We start from the raw sequence: 23,751 nt of genomic DNA on the forward strand, positions 1-23,751 counted from the left end.
CTGGCTCTACATGGTCAGGCATCCCTAATCAGAACAAACCTCAGCTCAAAATAAATAACCGATCACCGTCAATTACATTCCTACCAGTCTCAACTACTTCCTCTATCAAGTGGTCTCAATTCATGCACCTGTTCAAGCTGATGATGTGCACTGGTCTCTGAGAATACACCATTTTTCTTAAAACAGGATGTTTCTTAGAGGTAATAATGTTATTTTTCTCGATAAATGAGACAGCTTGAATGCTTCAAAAGAATAACAGTGTAGCTCTGCCTACCTCCTCTCTTAGACCCCACCTCCTTGCTGGAGTTGATAAGCCCTCTGTTTGGCTGAGAACACAATTCTCTCTCTTCAACTTTTTACAACATCATGGCAACTCTGTCCCCTTACATCTGGTGCCTAAAATGTATGGTTCTCGCTCTTTACCATATCTCAAAATATCTTCACTTAGAAGTCCCTGTGAGTGAATTTAGTAAGGAACTGACTACAAGCCAGGATCTAGGAAAATCTTGTTGAAGATCTCTGATATTTGTAAAGAACTGTGGGTTGAAGCAAGTAAGAAATACATGTGTAAAATGGTAAGTAGTAAAAATGATACAAATAGCAATTAAAGGAGAAATGTCCCAAGTATATGAATAAACACCTTGCACTCTACCTGTGGCAGCTGCCTGGAAATGTCCATGTCCTCTTCTTTCTGGCCACATGACTAGATGACATTTTCAATTTCCCATGAAGTTAGAAATGGCATGTGACTGAGTTCTCACCAATGGAATTGTGAGTAAATGTGATATTCTCCATCTCAAATTCTGGCTAGCTCTCTTATTAGTGCCTCTCCATCCTCTGTCCCCTTCTGGTGAGCTGGAATGCAGACCACCGCCAAGGCCACCTTAAAGGCCACTCACTGAAGAGCGCTGACTCTTTGTCTCCTAGGTCACTTGGATTTGCTGACCTTGATGACCAGTAAACTGGCTCAATACTGTTCTCTGAGCAAGAAATAAACTTCTATGTTTAAGCCACAAAAGTTTTTTAAAACTGAAAAGATGAAGAGTTTATTTTAGGCTGAATATTCTAAAATATCCTTTTTAGGATATATGGATTTTAACTGGGCACTCCTGAAGGATGGGGTAGGGCTTGAATTTAATTGAAGTACAAGTTGATATTCAATATATGTGACAAAATAAGATAAAAATCCAAGAAGAATTTGTGCAAATAGGTGCGAAGGGGCAGGAAGAAAATAAATTTGATTAGAGTAGCAAGATCTTCAGAATGGTTCAAAGCAAGGGTGGATAATAGGATTGAGTTAGATTGTGAAAGACCTTCCATATCTGGAAAAATATTTTAATTTTATAATGTTGGCAATATATACATATTTGAAAAAATGAACAATGCTCTGACACAATAAAGTGTTATACTAAGAAAATTAATCTTGCAAACATATAATAGTTTGAGGCCAAAATGAACTCTTTCTGGAAGTGCAAATAAGAGGCTCCTGAAATAATTTTACATGAATTACAAGATCAAGAATGTTAGGAAGAAAACAGAAATGGCTACTTTACCCATGGAGATAAGACTTTTGTCTTTTAATTAGTCAAATCTAATTCTAAATCTTGAGGATCGTCTTCTGTTTTGTCAGTAAAAGTTAAAAGGCAGAAGCAATCAATTTGATCTGTCTCTCAACATGGCCAAGGATTTGCCTAATTATTTATTTTATTTCATTTTTTATTATACTTTAAGTTCTGGGGTACATGTGCAGAACGTGCAGGTTTGTTACGTAGGTATACACTGTGCCATGGTGGTTTGCTGCCCCCATCAACCCCTCATCTACATTAGGTATTTCTCCTAATGCTGTCCCTCCCCTAGCCCCCCGACCACCTGACAGGCCCCACTGTGTGATGTTCCCCTCCCTGTGTCTATGTATTCTCATTGTTCAACTCCCACTTATGAGTGAAAACATGCGGTGTTTGCCTAATTATTTTTATGAAATTATGCACATGTATTCTTTGGAAGAACTAAGATTGCTTGACCAGCATTTATAATTTTCCTTTTACTCATAGTGCTTTTAGTCTGATGGGAAAAAATAACATTCCAAGAGCAATTACTTAATTACAATGGTGTCTAAATGCTTACAGGTCAGGTTATAGGAAGGCACAACAGTGTACAACTTGAGGTTTTAATGGGAGGTAAGGGGCAGGATGGCATTCACAGACATTGATTCTCGGTAAGCATCATCAATTGTTTAAGTCATGAGGTCAAAAAGTATTAGGGGTGGGAAATATCAAAGAGCTAGACATACTTAAAGGGGCAAGTGACACACTATGAAGGAAACAAACAAAAAAAACCCACAGATAAATCCAGAGGAAATAAGCAATTCAATAACTACTTAGCTCATTGAACTTTCTTTAGTGTGGAGAACAAGAGTTTAATGTCAAGGGAAATAAAGTAGGATAAGAAATCATAAAACTGATTTTCAAGTACACGTATTTAAATCCATTAGAGCTTCCCTATTTCGGAAACTGATCAGACAGTGGTTAAATAAATGCGATGAATAGCACTGGTGTCCTCAGTGATGTACTTAGAACCATTTAAATGCTTGTTATTAGGCTGCCGTTATATTTATTAGGAAGAAAAACAAAACTCTTGTAGCAGACTAATGCATCTTACCTTGATTTCCTTGTAAATCCCCTCCTCTCTGTTTAGCTTAAGTCTTCATTTCCTCACTTTAATTCTCACATTACTCATAGTTGATTCTTCTTAAAATAGGTTGTTTTTTAGCATGATCATCTGGAACCAATTTAGGCAAAAGTGTTTGTACATAAGCCCAGGTCTTTGATGTCCAAAGACTTTAAAAATGATTAATGTGGGTCAGCTAAATATTGCACTGATCAATGCGAGAAAGCAGAGACAAGAAGAACAAATAAACATCCAACTCTCATTGTGAGAACACAGATAGGGGATCTGTATCTCAGTAGCCCTCCACAACCATCCACTTCCTAGAGTACAAGGCCATAGGATTTATGCTTACACATTCCCTCAGTATAATCTGTTGATTATATAAGTCTTTTCTATGTTTATTTATTAAAAGGCAAGAAAGCCTTAGGATGTACAATTTGCCACGTTTATTATTTGTTCATTATTTTTTGAATGCCTACCTTGTATTAAGTGTGAAGGTGGGTCTTGGGTAAACTTCAGTGGGAAGATAACTATCATCATTTTTCATGGAATTTATATATAGTGAGGAAACAGATGGTAAATAAGTAACAATAATAAACTGGGAAATGTGTTATAATGGGGGAATGCAGGGTGGTGTTCAGGCATGTACTAAGGAATTTATGCTCTTCAGTGGGCTAGAGAAGTTCTTCCTGAGAAACTTATGCTTCAATTGAGACTTGGAGGAACAGTTGAATTAGCCAGAAGAAGGTGAAGTGAAGAGGAGGATTCTTGGCAGAAAGAAAATTGTTGGCCAAGAACATGAACAGCTGAGGGAGATGGGAGGGAGTGAAAGAATTTCAGTACATTTTGAGAGTAAAATATGTGTCAACATATCCAGAAATCAATCTGGAGATGAATCTATAGGTAGAGACCATATAGTAAACTCAAGGCCTTAAGTTGGATTTTATCTTAGTAGCAATGAAAAAATTGTTGAAGAATCTCAAGCAGGGAGTGGCATGATGTCATAGGGTAGACAGCGGATTAACAGCAAGGAGGAAGGGAGGTTGGGAGACATGGTAGTTTTTGCAGTATATGAGAGAGATGGCGTGTGCATGCACTAGGGATAAACAGTCTGAATGGAGAGAACTGTGCAAATCCAAGGGCTACTTAGAAGGCAGACCCACTGCATGTCTAAGAGGGTGGGAGCTGATGTGACCTCCACGTATCTGGTTCAAGAAGTGGATAAATGGGATTTTTTTGCTAAAACAAAGGCACTCAAGGGAATGAGAAAGTTTGAAGGGAGAAATGATTGGTTTTATCTTGAATAGATACTACCTCCAAGTGTGACTTTTCAGTATCTAGTTATGTCTTCATGTCTGAAACTCAAAAGACACATCTGGACTGGTGTGTTTGTGTGCACAGTCTATTACACATATATTTGGGAAATATCACAGATAGAAGATAATTCAAGCCTTAATAATAAATGTGATCACTGTAGTTGATTGTGCCCCATAAACAGGGTAGACGAGAATCCTAAACAATGTTTAAGTGATTGGTAGATGAAAAGAACCTGTAAAGGAGATGGAGGGAGGGGTGGATCAGGAGGAAGGAGAAGACCAAGAAATGTTGTCCACAAAGCAAAAGGCATAGTGTTAGAAGAAGCAAGGTGCCTCTAAAATGTTAGCAAAAGTAAGGACCAAAAGGGATCATTTGGACATCACATTAGCTGTTACTGATGACTTCAGGAAAAGAAATTTCAGTAGATGGATGGGAATAGACGTCAGAGTTCAGTGAGGTGTTAAGAATTAGGGAGTGTCAGCACAGAAACTGGAAGTATTGGATTAATGAAAAGAAGTTTGGGACTTGGCTTTTTGAGGCGGTTCCAAGATGGCCAAATAGGAACAGCTCCAGTCTACAGCTCCTAGCATGAGCGACGCAGAAGACAGGTGATTTCTGCATTTCCAACTGAGGTACTAGGTTCATCTCACTGGGGCTTGTCGGACAGTGGGTGCAGCCCACCGAGCGTGAGCCAAAGCAGGGTGAGGCGTAGCCTCAGCTGGGAAGCACAAGAGGTCAGGGAATTCCCCTTCCTAGCCAAGCGAAGCATCTATTCCAGATAGATGGCATCTGGAAAATCAGGTCACTCCCACCCTAATACTGCGCTTTTCCAATGGTCTTAGCAAATGGCACACCAGGAGATTATTTCCCATGCCTGGCTCGGAGGGTCACACACCCACGGAGCCTCGCTCATTGCTAGCACAGCAGTCTGAGATTGAACTGCAAGGTGGCAGCAAGGCTGGCGGAGGGGCGCCCACCATTGCTGAGCCTTGAGTAGGTAAACAAAGTGGCTGGGAAGCTCGAACTGGGTGGAGCCCACTACAGCTCAAGGATGCCTGCCTGCCTCTGTACACTCCATCTCTGGGGGCAGGGCATAGCCAAACAAAAGGCAGCAGAAACCTCTGCAGACTTAAATGTCCCTGTCTGACAGCTGTGAAGACAGTAGTGGTTCTCCCAGCATGGAGATTCAGAGATGAGAATGGACAGACTGCCACCTCAAGTGGGTCCCTGACCCCCGAGTAGCCTAACTGGGAGGCACCCCCCAGTAGGGGCAGACCAACACCTCACACAGCCGGGTACTGCTCTGAGATGAAGCTTCCAGAGGAATGATCAGGCAGCAACATTTGTTCAGCAATATTCGCTGTCCCGCAGCCTTCGCTGCTCATACCCAGGCAAACAGGGTCTGGAGTGGACCTCCAGCAAACGTCAACAGACCTGCAGCTGAAGGTCCTGACTGTTAGAAGGAAAACTAACAAACAGAAAGGATATCCACACCAAAACCCCATCTGTACATCACCATCATCAAAGACCAAGGTAGATAAAACCACAAAGATGGGGAAAAAACAGAGCAGAAAAGCTGAAAATTCTAAAAATCAGAGCACCTCTCCCTCTCCAAAGGAACACAGCTCCTCACCAGCAACGGAACAAAGCTGGTTGGAGAAAGGCTTTGACAAGTTGAGAGAAGAAGGCTTCAGACGATCAAACTTCGCCGAGCTAAAGGAGGAAGCTCGAAGCCATCACAAAGAAGCTAAAAACCTTGAAAAAAGATTAGACGAATGGCTAACTAGATAAGCAGTGTAGAGAAGTCCTTAAATGACCTGATGGAGCTGAAAACCATGGCACGAGAACTACGTGATGAATGCACAAGCTTCAGTAGCCGATTCAATCAACTGGAAGAAAGGGTATCAGTGATTGAAGATCAAATGAATGAAATGAAGTGAAAAGAGAAGTTTGGAGAAAAAAGAGTAGAAAGAAACGAATAAAGCCTTCAAGAAATATGGGACTATGTGAAAAGACCCAATCTACATCTGATTGGTGTATCTGAAAGTGACTGGAAAAATGGAATCAAGTTGGAAAACACTCTGCAGGATATTATCCGGGAGAACATCCCCAACCTAGCAAGGCAGGGCAACATTCAAATTCAGGAAATACAGAGAACGCCACAAAGATACTCCTCGAGAAGAGCAACTCCAAGATACATAATTGTCAGATTCACCAAAGTTGGAATGAAGGAAAAAATGTTAAGGGCAGCCAGAGAGAAAGGTCGGGTTACCCTCAAAGGGAAGCCCATCAGACTGACAGTGGATCTCTTGGCAGAAACTCTACAAGCCAGAAGAGAGCGGGGGCCAATATCCGACATTCTTAAAGAATTTTCAACCCAGAGTTTCATATCCAGCCAAACTAAGCTTCATAAGTGAAGGAGAAATAAAATCCTTTACAGAAAACCAAATGCTGTGAGATTTTTGTCACCACCAGGCCTGCCCTAAAAGAGCTCCTGAAGGAAGCACTAAACATGGAAAGGAACAACCAATACCAGCCACTGCAAAAACATGCCAAATTGTAAAGATCATCAATGCTAGGAAGAAACTGCATCAACTAACGAGCAAAATAACTAGCTAACATCATAATGACAGGATCAAATTCACACATAACCATATTAAACTTAAATGTAAATGGGCTAAATGCTCCAATTAAAAGACACAAACTGGCAAATTGGATAAAGAATCAAGACCCTTCAGTGTGCTGTATTCAGGAGACCCATGTCACTTGCAGAGACACACATAGGCTCAAAATAAAGGGATGGAGGAAGATCTAGTAGGCAAATGGAAAACAAAGAAAGGCAGGGTTTGCAATCCTAGTCTCTGATAAAACAGACTTTAAACCAACAAAGATCAAAAGAGACAAAGAAGACCATTACATAATGGTAAAGGGATCAATTCAACAAGAAGAGCTAACTATCCTAAATATATATGCACCCAATACAGGAGCACCCAGATTCATAAAGCAAGTCCTTAGAGACCTACAAAGAGACTTAGACTCCCACACAAAAATAATGGGAGACTTTAACATCCCACTGTCAACATTAGACAGATCAACGAGAAAGAAAGTTAATAAGGATATCCAGGAATTGAACCCAGCTGTGCACCAAGCAGACCTGATAGACATCTACAGAACTCTCCACCCTAAATCAACAGAATATACATTCTTCTCAGCACCACATTACACCTATTCCAAAACTGACCACATAGTTGGAAGTAAAGCACTCCTCAGCAAATGAAAAAGAACAGAAATTATAACAAACTGTCTCTCAGACCACAATGCAATCAAATTAGAACTCAGGATTAAGAAACTCACTCAAAACCACTCAACTACATGGAAACTGAACAACCTGCTCCTGAATGACTATTGGGTAGATAACAAAAGGAAGGCAGAAATAAAGATGTTCTTTGAAATGAATGAGAACAAAGACACAACAGACCAGAATCTCTGGGACACATTTAAAGCAGTGTGTAGAGGGAAATTTATAGCACTAAGTGCCCACAAGAGAAAGCAGGAAAGATCTAAAATTGACACCCTAACATCACAATTAAAAGAACTAGAGAAGCAAGAGCAAACACATTCAAAAGCTAGCAGAAGGCAAGAAATAACTAAGGTCAGCGCAGAAATGAAGGAGATAGAGACACAAAAAACCCTTCAAAAAATTCAATGAATCCAGGAGCTTGTTTTTTGAAAAGATCAACAAAACTGATAGACCACTAGCAAGACTAATAACGAAGAAAAGAGAGAAGAATCAAATAGACACAATAAAAAATGATAAAGGGGATATCACCACCGATCCCACAGAAATACAAACTACCATCATAGAATACTATAAACACCTCTACACAAATAAACTAGAAAATCTAGAAGAAATGGATAAATTCCTGGACACATACACCCTCCCAAAACTAAACCAGGAAGAAGTTGAATCCCTGAATAGACCAATAACAGGCTCTGAAATTGAGGCAATAATTAATAGCCTACCAACCAAAAAACATCCAGACAGACCACACAGATTCACAGCCGAATTCTACCAGAGGTACAAGGAGGAGCTGGTACCATTCCTTCTGAAACTATTCCAATCAATAGAAGAAGAGGGAATCCTCCCTAACTCATTTTATGAGGCCAGCATCATCCTGATACCAAAGCCTGGCAGAGACACAACAAAAAAAGAGAATTTTAGACCAATGTCCCTGATGAACATCGATGCAAAAATCCTCAATAAAATACTGGCAAACTGAATCCAGCAGCACATCAAAAAGCTTATCCACGATGATCAAGTGGGCTTCATCCCTGGGATGCAAGGCAGGTTCAACATACAGAAACCAATAAACATAATCCAGCATATAAAAAGAACCAAAGACAAAAACCACTTGATTATCTCAACAGATGCAGAAAAGGCCTTTGACAAAATTCAACAGCCTTTCATGCTAAAAACTCACAATAAATTAGGTATTGATGGGACATATCTCAAAATAATAAGAGCTATTTATGACAATCCCACAGCCAATATCATACTGAATGGGCAAAAACTGGAAGCATTCCCTTTGAAAACTGGCACAAGACAGGGATGCCCTCTCTCACCACTCCTATTCAACATAGTGTTGGAAGTTCTGGCCAGGGCAATCAGACAGAAGAAAGAAATAAAGGGTATGCAGTTAGGAAAAGAGGAGGTCAAATTGTCCCTGTTTGCAGATGACATGATTGTATATTTAGAAAACCCCATCATCTCAGCCCAAAATCTCCTTAAGCTGATAAGCAACTTCAGCCAAGTCCCAGGATACAAAATCAATGTGCAAAAATCACAAGCATTCTTATACGCCAATAACAGACAAACAGAGAGCCAAATCATGAGTGAACTCCCATTCACAATTGCTTCAAAGAGAATAAAATACCTAGGCATCCAATTTACAAGGGATGTAAAGGACCTCTTCAAGGAGGACTACAAACCACTGCTCAATGAAATAAAAGAGGACATAAACAAATAGAAGAACATTTCATGCTCATGGATAGGAAGAATCAATATTGTGAAAATGGCCATACTGCCCAAGGTAATTTACAGATTCAATGCCATCCGCATCAAGTTACCAATGGCTTTCTTCACAGAATTGGAAAAAACTACTTTAAAGTTCATATGGAAACAAAAAAGGGCCAGCATTGCCAAGACAATTCTAAGCCAAAAGAACAAAACTGGAGGCATCACGCTACCTGACTTCAAACTATACTACAAGGCTATAGTAACCAAAACAGCATGGTACTGGTACCAAAACAGAGATATAGACCAATGGAACAGAGCAGAGCCCACAGAAATAATACCACACATCTACACCCATCTGATCTTTGACAAACCTGACAAAAACCAGAAATGGGGAAAGGATTCCCTATTTAATAAATGGTGCTGGGAAAACTGGCTGGCCGTATGTAGAAAGCTGAAACTGGATCCCTTCCTTACACCTTATACCAAAATTAATTCAAGATGGATTAAAGACTTAAAGTTAGACCTAAAACCATAAAAACTCTAGAAGAAAACCTAGGCAATACTATTAAGGACATAGGCATGGGCAATGACTTCATGTCTAAAACACCAAAAGCAATGGCAAGAGAAGCCAGAATTGACAAATGGGATCTAATTAAACTAAAGAGCTTCTGCACAGCAAAAGAAACTACCATCTGAGTGAATGGGCAACCTACAGAATGGGAGAAAATTTTTACAATCTACTCATCTGACAAAGGGCTGATATCCAGAATCTACAAAGAACTGAAACAAATTTACAAGAAAAAAACAACCCCATCAAAAAGTGGGTGAAGGATATGAACAGACACTTCTCAAAAGAAGACATTTATGCAGCCAACAGACACGTGAAAAAATGCTCATCATCACTGGCCATCAGAGAAATGCAAATCAAAACCACAATGAGATACCATCTCACACCAGTTAGAATGGCGATCATTAAAAAGTCAGGAAACAACAGGTGCTGGAGAGGATGTGGAGAAATAGGAACATTTTTACACTGTTGGCGGGACTGTAAACTAGTTCAACCATTGTGGAAGTCAGTGTGGTGATTCCTCAAGGATCTAGAACTAGAAATACCATTTGACCCAGCCATCCCATTATTGGGTATATACCCAAAGGATTATAAATTATGCTGCTACAAAGACACATGCACATGTATGTTCATTGCAGCACTATTCACAATAGCAAAGACTTGCAACCAACCCAAATGTCCATCAATGATAGACTGGATTAAGCAAATGTGGCACATCTACACCATGGAATACTATGCAGCCATAAAAAAGGATGAGTTCATGTCCTTTGTAGGGACATGGATGAAGCTGGAAGCCATCATTCTTTGCAAACTATCTCAAGGACAAAAAAACCAAACACCGCATGTTCTCACTCATAGGTAGGAATTGAATAATGAGAACACTTGGACACAGGAAGGGGAACATCACACACCAGGACCTGTTGGGTAGGGTGAGGGGAGACGGATAGCATTAGGAGATATGCCTAATGTAAATGACAAGTTAATGGGTGCAGCACACTAACATGCCACATGTATACATATGTAACAAACCTGCATGTTGTGCACATGTATCCTAGAACTTAAAGTATGATTAAAAAAAAAAAAAAAGAAGTTTGAAGATACAGAAGAGAGAATGGGCAATGGATGTAAAGAGCTTGAGCAACTTATCCATAGGTGAAACAAAGGGCTCTGATACTATAGGCTGGGGTCTGCAGTGCCAGGGGTGGGGTCCCCATGTCTCCCAGTCTTTGACATGGAGAACTTGAAAGTTGCCAAAGTGAGGTTCGGCACATTTGTGGATGGGGTCATGGGATATTTCGAGAGAAAAGTAGTTGAGTTTCAGACATTTCCATTTTGAGGACTCATGAATGAGATCATTGAACAAAAATGATAGCAAAAACCACTCCCAGGGGAAATGCACCATGCAGCAGGGGATAGGTAGGGCCAAGTCTAGAGCTTCAGTTGTTAAGCATAGCTGCTGCTACCAAACAGCATTTGACTAAGGCTGGAAACTGTTGGCACAGCTGGAGCTTGGTCATTTTCAGAAATAGCTTTGTTTGAAGCCTTAGCAAGCGAAAGTAAGCACTTCGGAAACGATAAAGTCATTTGAAAAATATCCCTCCCAAGTTGAATATAAACTGCTTTTATATTCAACTTGGTAATTCTCAAAATAAGTTTTTTAAACCAAAGGTTTGCTGTAGTTGTGGAGCTGAACTTACTGAGAGCCTTTTTGTTTCTTTAAGCTATTGTCTGAAATTGAGAACGAAATTATTAAAAATAAAGGATTTATTTCAAAAAAAAAAAAAAAAAAAAAGAAAAATATCCCTCCCAACACTCTTTTCTCTTATATTCTATTAGTTTTTTTCTTATATATTTTCTCTTACATTATATTTACATAACTATCATAATTTGGAGCTATCAGAATAGCAAGAGGTATTATAAAAACACAATTAGCTTTGGGGTAAAAGATTAAATATAGAGTACGTTTTTCTGTGATGTTTTAAATAATCCCCACTTTAATGTATTGAATGCCAACACCAAAGTTTATAAGCATCATAAATGATCTATTACATTAAGAATAATATGATAGGAAAAGTTGTTTTTTTTTACTAATTTGATGATTTTTCAGTGGTCATTAACTAACACGTACTGTATAATATAACAAATTTAGATTTTATGTAAGGATTTGTGTATATTGTTAATCATGATCCAAACTTCAGTCCTCGTGGTGTTTCTGGGCTTTGCTGCTATTTTTGCCCTTGGAGGTAGTGAAGACAGTCAGTGTTCCCCACATGGATTTTCCTACATGAGGGCCTGTAGCTGTCTTTGAAGCAGAGTGGTCAGTCTTTTCTCTTGCTTGTTTAACACACTTCCATTTGAGACCATGGAAAGTTTGGGAAGTTCTTTGTGTGTTAGTGATACTATCTATATCTATATCTATCTATCTATCTATTATATATATATATATATATATATATTTTTTTTTTTTTTTTTTTTTTTTTTTTTTTGAGGCAGGGTCTCGCTCTGTCACCCAGGCTGGAGTGCAGTGGCACAATCTCGGCTCACTGCAACCTCTGCCTCTCAGGTTCAAGCAATGTTCCTCCCTCAGCCTCCTGAGTAGCTGGGATTACAGGTGCCTGCCATGATGCCCAGCTAATTTTTGTATTTTTGTAGAGGTGTGGTTTCACCATGTTGGCCAGGCTGGTCTCGAACTCCTGACCTCAAGTGAACTGCCTGCCTTGGGCTCCCAAAGTGCTGGAATTACAGGCATGAGCCAACGTGCCTGGGTGAGTGATACTATATTCTATCCAGCAAATGATACACCTCTGAAAATGTCATGTGGATGAGGTTAGAAAGCCTATTGGCGGCAAGGCTAGTGCTCTGCTAAATCCTAACCAGTTTCTGAATCTAATCCATTCTGTTTTATCAATTATCTATCAAGCCTCGGCACTTTTAATGTATGCAATCATTAAAATAGCAGTCTATTGCCATGCAAGTCTAGAGAATGAAGTTCCTGGGAAGATTTTTTACCTTCACTAATAGCACTCATTTACCTAGCTGTTGTTCCCAACAACAGAAACATCCCCAAACAACTTTCTTGTCCTTTAACAACGTCTGAATGTTTCAATAAAAGTTAAAGTGAAGTAGCAGATGAGAATGATGATATTTTAAATATTTTTTCATAGTTTGGCACATTTGCCCCTGGGGCAAACTGCACCGAAGGAGACTTTATAGAAGTAGAATGAACACATAATGTCCTTTGAATGCGAATTTATTAGCATTTCTCTGGGGGTCAGAAAACATACACAAAGCAGCTCTTTTATGTTGTGGAAATTTTTACACCAGTTTTTGGTATAGAGATATGTACATGTTTGTGTATTTCCAGAAAGAAGCTACTGGCCAGTGCTCAGGAGGCCTGGTTCTTGGTGGCGTTTAAAAAAAATTATTCATAAGAAACTAAACGATTGATTGAACTTTCAGATGTTTTACAGTTCTATAAAAAGACCGTCCATGGTAAATTTTCTGTTGTTAAAACATTGCTAAAAATCATTTTACTCCTTTTAATTAAATGCGTTTAGCATTGTCTGAGTAGTGCAATGATTCTGACTCGACTGGTTTCAGGTCATTCTGTCACATATGAACAGTGTTCAACAGAGCTCCAGGTTCTGTTTCTTTTTGAACACATCCGAGAAACCAGGTTTATGTGGCTGCAGAGGATCTAGTTCCCATGTAGTGCCTGTAAAGGAGGTCAAGGCCCATATCTGCCCAAATGCTGTTTAACTAGTTCTGTACTTAAATAAAGCTAGGGCAGGCTTCAGCAAAAGCAGGATATTGAGAAAGTGGGACCCACTGCAGCAGCTGGGTGGTAAAGGATGGCAGTAAACACCATTTGAGAGGAGAAGCCCAGGCACACCTACTCTCAGCACGCATTTAGTTTTATTGAGCACTACTCTGATATCTTAAACCAAGAACCATACATCTCATATATGTGTCTTCCCTTGACACCCCTTGTGAGGTAAGTAGGTAGAAAGGTAGACAGATAGTTCTGAAGGCTGCTTTCATTGGGATTGGGGTTTGGAGAGGGTTGTTTAATATATGTTTATCTTTTAATATATTTTACTATATATTTTTAGTCATAAGTTAGTCTTTTCAATATCTATGGTAAAATTTACCAGGAACTAGATGAAATAAAAAGAGTAGACCTTTTAAATGGATGAAGATCCAGGATTAGATCTGAAGTTTATTTACCATTATCAGTGGAACGCTACCATGGATCCAAAGCCTGTGTGTTTTGCTGTATAGTCAACATGTTGTGTTTTTCTGGGAAGTCAGAATTATAATTTTTTAAAGACATATTTAAACTGTAAGCTCAGAAGTTTAAAATAAAAAGCTTTAGCATTGATAGGTAGCTACAAATTTTGACTACATGTATTTACCACCATAGAACCTTATTAAATTTTCTGACAGGCCTCCTCAGAAACAGTGCTCTCAACATTTCTCCACAAGTTACTGGCAGCAATTGGATAACTATGCTTCAGATTCCTTCTCTTGAGTTCTTGGGCAAGCATTCTGGCTTTCTTCTGATTTGATGAATATCGAAAAGATGTTCTTGAATATTTCATCTTCTGTCTGTCATCCTTTATCTTTGACTTTTCTTGTTTTCTCCAACTTTGCATTCAGTTTGTCAGCAAATACTGGTAGCTACACCTTATAATAAATTCTGAATTCCACCACTGCTCACTACCCCCACACTCTTTTAAGTCACCATTATTTAATGAAACTACTTCCTATTTGGCCTCTCTGATTCTACTCTCAAACCCTCCCAGGTCCCACTGACAGTCTAATCTAGCTACAATAATAATAATCTTTTTATGCTCAAAATTGTTGCTTCCTTCTTTGAAACCTTCCAAGAAATTTCCATCCATAATCCTTGTTTTAGACTATTAGATGCATAAGTACAATGTCACCTCCACAGCAGCAGAGGTGGCAATTATTTGGTTATCATTGTCTCCTCAATGCTTAGCATAAAGCCTAGGCCATAACAGGAGCTTAATAAGTCATTGTTGAATGAAAGTGTGAGGAAATAAATGAATGGCTTTATATGGAGTCCAGTGGAATTCAAGGAGAGCCTTGGTAGTACTATTCCAGGCTCCTTTTTCCACAAAGGAAACTTCTCTGGATGATAAAAAAAATTCCAGTTCACTGTAAAATCCAAGTAGGAATAACTTTCATCTGAATAATTTATCTATAGAAATTTAAATCTTAATTTTTCTCCCCAGTGAACAATCCTGTCTTACAATTTCCTGTTGAATGCTAATCCTGAAAGAGCAACGGGAGGATATTGGGGTGAAACTGGTTTCCAGGGTCAGGTTGAAGACGAGGGTTTTTCTGATTTGAGATTTCCACGTGAAGAACAAAGAGAAGCTCCTTCTTCTGTCCTTGAGTTGGCCAGGGCACCTGGGCCTATACCGTGAGTCAAAGGAGCTGGTGAAATGCTAAGGGCTGGGGCCTGGGGTTAGGGGAGGTACAAATTACAGAGAAAGCTGTTTTCTAAGGAAGACTGCTGAAATACCATGTGAGAGTGCCATGGATGGGGGTGGTGGGGGAAAGGAGCCTTTTATGGACATAGATAAACCCTTGGGTAGACACTAGTTGTAAAGGGTGCTGAGCAGTTTCTGGCTTGTGCCTAAACCAGTCAAGATGTCAAACAGTAGCATAACAAAACATGTTTTCATTAGAGATGAGGATTTAAATTAGAAAATATACCCATGTTGGTCCAAAAAAAGAAAAAAAAAAGAAGAAAACAAGTGCTTTTCTTTTCCTTAAGTAAAACTCTACTTTTCAATGTTGTGATTTCATAGTGTCTAATAATATTACTAAATAAATGTCAGACTGTGTCTCACTCATGCCTGCAACACTGCATCTTTCATCTTTTCATAAAAGACTAACTGCTGTTAAAATTTATAGTTTCCTATAAATAGTACCCTTGGTTTCTGTGTCTATATTATACTTGGAAAAGATCTGACTTTTTACCAGACTGACCAGATGTTTTATGACAAATAGACACAGTTAGATTTTTAATTACCCACTAAGTAAGGTATTTAGCAACTAGACAGTTGGCCCCAATCTATAAAATGTTATACTTGCAGAGAACAATTTCTGTTAATAACTGAGATGCCTTCCCAATTTATTTGTTCTCAGTTTATATTTTCTCATTAGTCTTTCTTCACATTCATTGCAATTGTCAGTTATCTTATCAAATAATAATCCATATGAATTAAATATTTTTAATCATTGACTCTAAACATAGGGATAGAATAACTGCATGGATAGTTTAATATGCATCTCTAGGCATGGATAAATTTATGAGGAAAAGAAATTCGAGTTAATGTTTATGTGTATTTATATTTACAAATATAAACATGTAAATGGCATGTGGATCCTAGCATTCCTGTCATATAACCATTCACACTGTCTTAGTTCATTTTTGGCTGCTATAATAGAATATTAGACTGGTGATTTATAAGGAACAGACATTTATTTATCTATTTATTTATTTATTTATTTTTATTTATTTTTGAGACAGAGTCTCACTCTGTCACCCAGGCTGGAGTGCAGTGGTGTGATCTCGGCTCACTGCAGCCTCTGCCTCCCAGGTTCAAGCGATTCTCCTGCCTCAGCCTCCTGAGTAGGTGGGACTACAGGTGTGCGCCACCACACCTGGCTAATTTTTGTATTTTTAGTAGAGATGGGATTTCACCATGTTGGCCAGGATGGTCTCAATCTTCTGACCTCTTGATTTGCCCGCCTTAGCCTCTCAAAGTGCTGGCATTACAGACGTGAGCCACCGTGCCTGGCCAAGGAACAGAAATTTATTGACTCACAGTTATGGAAGCTGGGAAGCCCAAGATTGAGGGGCCAGTGTCTGGCAAAGGCCTTCTTGCTGCTTCAACTCATGGTAGAAGGTGGAAGGGCAAAGAGAGGGCAAGACAGAGAAAGTGAACCAAACTCACCCTTCTATAGTGACCCCACTTCTGTGATCATTAATCCACTTCCATGATAATAACACTAATTCATTAATGAGAGTGGAGCCTTCACTGCCTAATCACCTCTCACCAGGCCCCACCTCCCAACACTGTTGCACTGGGGATTACGCTTTTCAAACATGTTTTTTTGGGGGATACATTTAAACGATAGCACATACCAATCCCATGTTACACCTCTCTTTTGAGGATTACGTAAAACATAATGTAGGATTCCATTTTGCCCTCTTTCTCCTCATTGTCTGCTCTACCACCCCATCCTGCTCACACTTGCTATGGTTGATTTCTTGGTACCTTCAAGGCAAAAGGTGGGTTGGGCTATTAGGAATGCAGCTGTTCCATTGGCTCCACTCCATGCTGACGTGTGATGATGGAGCAGCTCGGTTCTCTGGGAAGTGGACTGGCCATGACCTTGGATGACTTGGAGGAATGGGGTGGGGCAGGCTTCTTTTTTTGGTCCTTTCAACAGTGGAGGACATCTTATTTGAATACTCAGATGCCAGAAAGAGATCTGACTCTAAAATAACATTTCTTACTCTACAGTTTTACTCAGTTGAAATTTGAATTTGGAAATAATTTGGCACTGCTACTATTGGGGAAAATTTCATTTTTCTGAAAGCATAACACATTAGTGGGAAGAACATGAATCTGCACCAAGAGAGGCCTACTGCCCGTTAGCTACAGACACCAAGGGCCAGGTGTTTAACTTCAGGTCTCAGCCTCCTAGGGAGCAAGGGAGATCAAATGGTCTATTAGTTAGCTGTCCACTGATTCAGGGTAGTCTCCTTGTGGGTCTGGATCATGTCTTGAGCCCCCTGACATGGATCTTCTAGACATAGACTTGAAAACACGGATTGGACTAAACTGAGTTATTATTATGGAGAGAGAAAACAGTATCTCTATAATTTCTTTAGGATTAAGCTGAGTGATCTGTATAATACTGATTGTTTAAAAATCCTAAGGGAGACTATTGCTGCAATTGTGAGAGCAGAAAAAAATACTTTTCAGTGTAGACACACTCAGGTAGCTGTTTATTGAAGTAAGCATACTGAGGTAGTTACGTGGAACTGAGAGGCAATTTGGCATAGTTAGAAGAGTATGTTGAAGCCACATATACCCAGTTTTGAACACCCTTCTGAATCACCATGACTGAGGGACAGTGAGTGGTTATCTGACATCTCTGAGCATTATTAGTCTTCTCATCTGCAAAATGGAGATAATAATAGATTAGATTCAATGCATGTAAGGCATTCTGCACAGCATTTGACCTCGGAAGGAAATACAAATATAGTAACTATTTTAAAGCTTCATTCTATGAAAGGGTGACTAAATTTTCTTATAAAAATATTCATTGCACAAGTTTGGATTAAATATACATGCTTATCATATGTGTCAAGTTAAATCTTGAGCAAAAGCCAAAATAAAATCAATGAGCTTCCTAACTTAGAATAAATGCTTTTGGGGAGAGGCTACTTTCCTAAGTTGGATGTGAGTTGAGAGAGGAAATCTGTGAGCTTGTTGCTAAAAATCTCTTTTTTCCTCCATTTAAAAGAAGAACTTCTGGGGTTCTCATGGACTACAGTGAACTAGAAGGCTTGTTTCTGAATTCATTAAACCACGTGATACAGTTTTTAAAATGCTTTCTTGACTCGGTTTTGAGGCCCTGGCTAGAGGCCAGTCAGTCCCTCTCCTTAGGTAGCTGATTAAGTCTACTTCCCAACCCCCTCTCCGATTGGGCTGTCAGACTCTGGGCCACCATCTACCTGCCCTAATCACCCCAGGCCCGGTACCAGACAGCTAGGGACAGCCTCTATGCCTCAGAGGCCCCTGAAATTATTCAAACCAGTCAATGCTAAGCTTGCTTACCCTGCATCACCTGTTCCTTCCTACAGAAACCACAGTAAAGGTTGTCTTCCCCTCCCTCTGTTTTGTGACTGACCCTGCTGATTCTCTGTGTGTCCCCACATGCGGGTGGCATGATATTTACTCCGTCTTTTGGGAACTCTAAGTAGAATAATTTACCTTTTCAATGACAGTTGTTTCCTGATCTGTTGGCCTTAACATACCAAAAGTAATAATGAATCCATTAAAACACCAACTGTAGAATGGAGATTAATAACAGCCCTTAATTTTTTCATGGTATTTTGATACAAAAAGATTTTTCTAATGCATGCAGATGTTGATGGTTGAATATCTAAAGGAGCACGCTATACAATGTATGCCTGTCTGCCTCCTAGAGTAAGCACTAAATCAAACTCTAGCATTTTATTTTACTTTTTATTTCATAATGCTGAATTGAAAACCAGAGTTTACACTGAAGTAAAAACGACAATTGAAAAAGAAAAAGCAACAAAATCCAGGATCCTGGAGATTCCCCTATTCCCACTCTCTGCCATTCTCTCCTTATAATAACTTATATCACATGAAGAGTTGTTCCAACACCACTGGAATTCTGTGCTCACCTGAAATGCCATGTGTTTGTGGAGGGACCTAAATTACTATTTCTAGGAGATCTACAATTTTTAATCTTCTCCTCTGGCTGAGTTTAACATTTTGATGTTAATATGGTAATGAAATGAGTCGATACGTCTACATTGGATTAACAAAGAACCAATTTTGGGATGAAAATCCTCCACAATTGGAGCCACTGACATGTTGACTTTACATTTCCACTACTAAAAAGAGTTTTCTCCAACCTCAGCCGTTGTAAGCTCTGGCATTTCCATTTTTTATTTTAAAGAATTGGAATAGGAATATTTGATTACCTAGCTATTGGTATTCCTTATGATGGTAGCAGTTTTGGAGCTTGATATTTGTCTTTGAAATCAACAAGTATTTTCTTTCCCAAGGTTGTTCCTTCATTTTAAGCTATAACAATATGTTTATGTTATCATGTGTGCAAATTTATTTTTGTGTTAAAAGTATTCTAAAGAGATTAGACAATTGAAATCTTTTTGGAATTTTAATGCAATTCTTATCAGAAAACTTGCATTTACTTTCCTGCAAATGAGGTTTTATCATATCAAATGTCTTCAGGATCTCTAGTTTTCTTTGCAGATAATTGCAACAGGTGGATGTATTTATAGTTAGTTTACAACAGCACATTTTTAGTATGGTGATACTCAAGATACTACTTAACCAGTAAGAATAATGACTAACAGTGAGTATTGAGGGTCAGGTTGCTTGGGTTGTAGAGCTGGCTTTAGATCTAACTAGCTTACCTTGGGCAAGATACTAAACTGTGCTTCAATCCACTCAATAGATGTTGAAAGCATAAGATATGTTTGCCATATTTATTATGTTTCTAGGATATGATGCAGTGTCTTATAGAAAATTTAGTATGTTCTCAGTAGGGGAAAAATTATGCTAAGCTAGTACTACTTCAAATATTATGTAATTATTTATGTAATTTGAAGCCTATTAAAAATTTCTGTCACATTTTCTTTCTGATGTTTCAGTATTTGTCTTTATTGTAAAAGATAAGGCAAAGGAATTTTTATTTTTAAAGAAAAATGTCACAGCAAGATTACCTTGAAGTAAATTTATGCAGTATATAAAATCTAAAAAATTAGATCCTATTTAGAATAAAAGCCAGTATAAATATAAAAATAATAAAAACAGTGTCACTATTCTTGAGGAAATATTCACTGAACACTTACTGTGTACTAGGCATCACTCTCTGTACATTTTACAGATGATCTCATTTGATTATCACCCCAGCTAAGCAAATGCAACTGGTCTGTTAATATATTTTATAATGGTGAAAATCGAGGCCTGGAAGGGGTAGGTAGTGATATGGTTTGGCTGTGTCCCCACCCAAATCTCATCTTGAATTTCCACTTGTTGTGGGAGGGACCCTGTGGGGGGTGATTGAATTATGGGGGTGGGTCTTTTCTGCACTGTTATTGTGATGGTGAGCGGGTCTCACAAGATCTGATGGTTTCAGAAATGGGAGTTCCCCTGCACAAGCTCTCTTTTTGCCTGCTGCCATCCCTGTAAGACGTGACTTACTCCTCCTTGCCTTCTACCCTGATTGTGAGGCCTCCCCAGCCATGTGGAACTGTAAGTCTGTGAAACCTCTTTCTTTTGTAAATTGCCCAGTCTCGGGTATATCTTTATCAGCAGTGTGAGAACGGACTAATATAGGTAGTTTTCCCAGGTCACACACTGAGTAAGTGATGGAGCCTTGTTTTTTTTTGTTTGTTTTGTTTTGTTTTGTTTGAGTAACAGTCTCACTCTGTCACCCAGGCTGGAGTGAGGTGATATATTCATAACTCACTGCAATCTTGACCTCTTGGGCTCAAATGATCCCCCCACTTAAGCTTCCTGAGTAGCTGAGACTACAGGCGCATGCCACCACACCTAGCTAATTTTTAATTTTTGTAGAGATGGAGTCTTGCTATGTTGCCAGGCTGGTCTCAAACTCCTGGTCTCAAGAGATCCTCCCACCTCACCTTCCCAAATGCTAGAATTACAGGCATGAGCCACCTTGCCTGGCAGGAAGCATGTTTTGAACCATGTTTTGAAACCATGTTTTGAGCTGAGCTTTAACCCACCTGATGACTAAATATCAAACATACATCAATTCAGCAAATGCTGATGACATGTTTTCCTCAGGGTTCTAGAAATTTTCATGATGCCCTCAGAGACTTTAATATATGTGTTTACCCTTAAGGTTCTTAAAGACTTTAGAATCTGTCATGTAAAATGTAATATTTTATTTTATTAAATTGCTGAAATAATACACACATTTCCTTTATAAGATGTGCAGGGACCCGTCTCCTCTACGGGGCTTATAGTCCAATACTAATAATAATATTAAAATATCTTGTAATTATAGTAATTATCTACCAGTATCATTTTAACTTGAAATAGTAAATTCAAATAGACTTGTCTGTTACTTACATTTGGATTGCCTGCTTGGATTCTTAGTTATGAAAAGCAGAGACATAAAAGCTCTTTGTATGGCTGTGGGAGAACAGAAGTGAGGGTGGTTTTGTTCACACAGTACCTGTATGTTTTTATTCTGGGGACACTAAGGATAAGAGAAACTAAGCACTTGAGGGGATACCGGGGGAGAAGCACTAAAATGCGTTTCTACTTGAGCTGGAAAAAGTCTTTTCCTTTTCCCTAAGAATTTTCTAGGGCAGTGCTTCTGATTTAGATATGACAAAATCCTGGGCTTGTCATCTAGTAGAAGCTTTTTTCCCCCTTGTTTTCTATTTCCTATGTTTATGTGAGAATTCATGTTGATAAATATATTTTTAATCTTAGCAGGAAGCAGATTTGGCATTAAATAATGTTAAGGTAAAAACTTTTTGGAAAATAAATCATTATTTTGATTATGCTCCAGATTTCCTGATAGGAACACAATCACTTGAAAATATTCAATATAGTAAAAGGAATACAAATTATTATTGGGAGCATTTTATTAGACTCTCAATTTCCTGATTGTGTCACTATTCTTGAGAGAATACCATACATGAAAAGAACAGTGTGATTTCAAAGATTTATCAAGACTTTTGTTCTGAGAATACTCAAATGATTTTTTCTGGTCAAGTAAATACTTTATGACATAGTTAAAAATAACTTTTGGAAAATACTAATATAGGGTTTGAAATGCAAATTACACTCAAGGCCATAATCTATGGGGCTTGGTTCTACAAGAGTTATTTCACAGGAGTTTTTATTTCCATCTATCAGGTGCTATTCCCTATATAGTTTCCATATTGCAGTCGTTTCTTTACAGCTATGACAGAACACAATGTCAAACTCAACTGATGATCTCAAAGTCCCCATGGACCACAGCCATGTATGGACAGGAAAGACATACATTTTTGTGTCACGGGGTAATGAGCATCTTTCTTTCCACCTGCAATTTGCACTTCGTTTTTTGTTTGCCTGTTGATCCCAAACAATTATTTCCACATGACATTCTCTCTCTTTCATAGGGCTCTTTATTTCGCCCTCCCACCCCCGCCCAACTTGGCAGCCCAGGATGAGGATGGAAATTTGAAATGAACATGAGAATAGAATTCCAGCTCGGTGACACAGAAAAATAAGGATGAAGGGAAATGATGAGCTCCGTTTTAATGTATTATTTAGAAACCTCTCACTGCTGACATGAAGCTGTTCTGAGTACCGACAAGGTGTGACAACAGGAAGTGCAACGATGGGCAGGTGGGGGATAATTGTGTTAAATAGGCTTTTTTTTTTTTCTCTCGTATGCCTTTGTGTACTTGCTCGGGGGTCAAAAAAGAAAAAATAAAAATAAAAAGAGCCCTCTCACCAGAATGACTTATAATTATTACACTGCTCCAGATCATCGTACCTTGTTGGCAGTCGGCTGTTAATTATTTGTCTGTCAGGAATCATTCGCTACATGCTTACTGTTTCTTTCCCTTCTTTGTGTGAATGGGAGTTATATTTTATTTTATGAACAATGCTTTTCTGTACTATAAGACAAGACACTGAAAACAAGGATGTCTGTTTATACAGCAGGCACATCTGGCTTTCACTGCCAAGATAACAAAGAACGTGGAGGGATATTTTAAAGCAAGAAGCCATCTTTGCCTATATGATATTGAAAAGATTGGGATTCATTCATTTTGACTGTAAGGATCCCAGGTAATTCCGCAGTATAATTAGAGCAGTTTCGTGAAAGAGTCTATTGTGCCGATGAAGCCATATCATTTATACAGAGCCTGTAAAATGTATATTTTTAATTAAACAATGGAAACAGGTTATCCCAAGGTGAAACTGCCTCCAATTTCATTATCTACATTACTTGCTTCTCATTACCCTCTTCTCCTTCATAAAAAATTACTCAGCAGCTAATTTCCTCAAGAATTTGCTCTGGGAAATTGGGGATTGCTCTTACTTAAGTTTTAGCAGTTAAGGGTTCAAGTGCCCATTCTATTAATGCCCACGTGTAGGACCTGAGGGGAAATGTGGGCTCTCCATGAATTTACATGTGCTATGTCAGGTCCATAAATGAGGCCTGAGACCATTTGAAGTGGGTGGCCAAGACCACTTTGCTTTGAGGTGTGGTGAGAGAGACAGTCATCAAAGTGACAGCTTACCAGGTGCTGGCATGTGGGCTTGTGTTTAACATCAAGTAATAAGATCAGGTGCTAAAAGTGGAAATACTAAAGAAGACA

The 23,751-nt window shown here is 38.9% G+C and overlaps 1 long non-coding RNA gene across 1 annotated transcript; it reads left to right on the forward strand.

Annotated features, from left to right (window-relative positions):
• Window positions 1–22,051: 22,051 nt before the first annotated feature.
• LOC124904322 (uncharacterized) lies at window positions 22,052–23,350 on the forward strand. The gene is made up of 2 exons (XR_007066412.1): window positions 22,052–22,440; window positions 22,543–23,350. It is a non-coding gene; the product is annotated as an uncharacterized LOC124904322 (long non-coding RNA).
• The last annotated feature ends 401 nt before the right edge of the window (window positions 23,351–23,751 follow it).

The sequence above is a fragment of the Homo sapiens genome, chromosome 18 (assembly GCF_000001405.40).
Source record: "Homo sapiens chromosome 18, GRCh38.p14 Primary Assembly".
Taxonomy (NCBI): domain Eukaryota; kingdom Metazoa; phylum Chordata; class Mammalia; order Primates; family Hominidae; genus Homo; species Homo sapiens.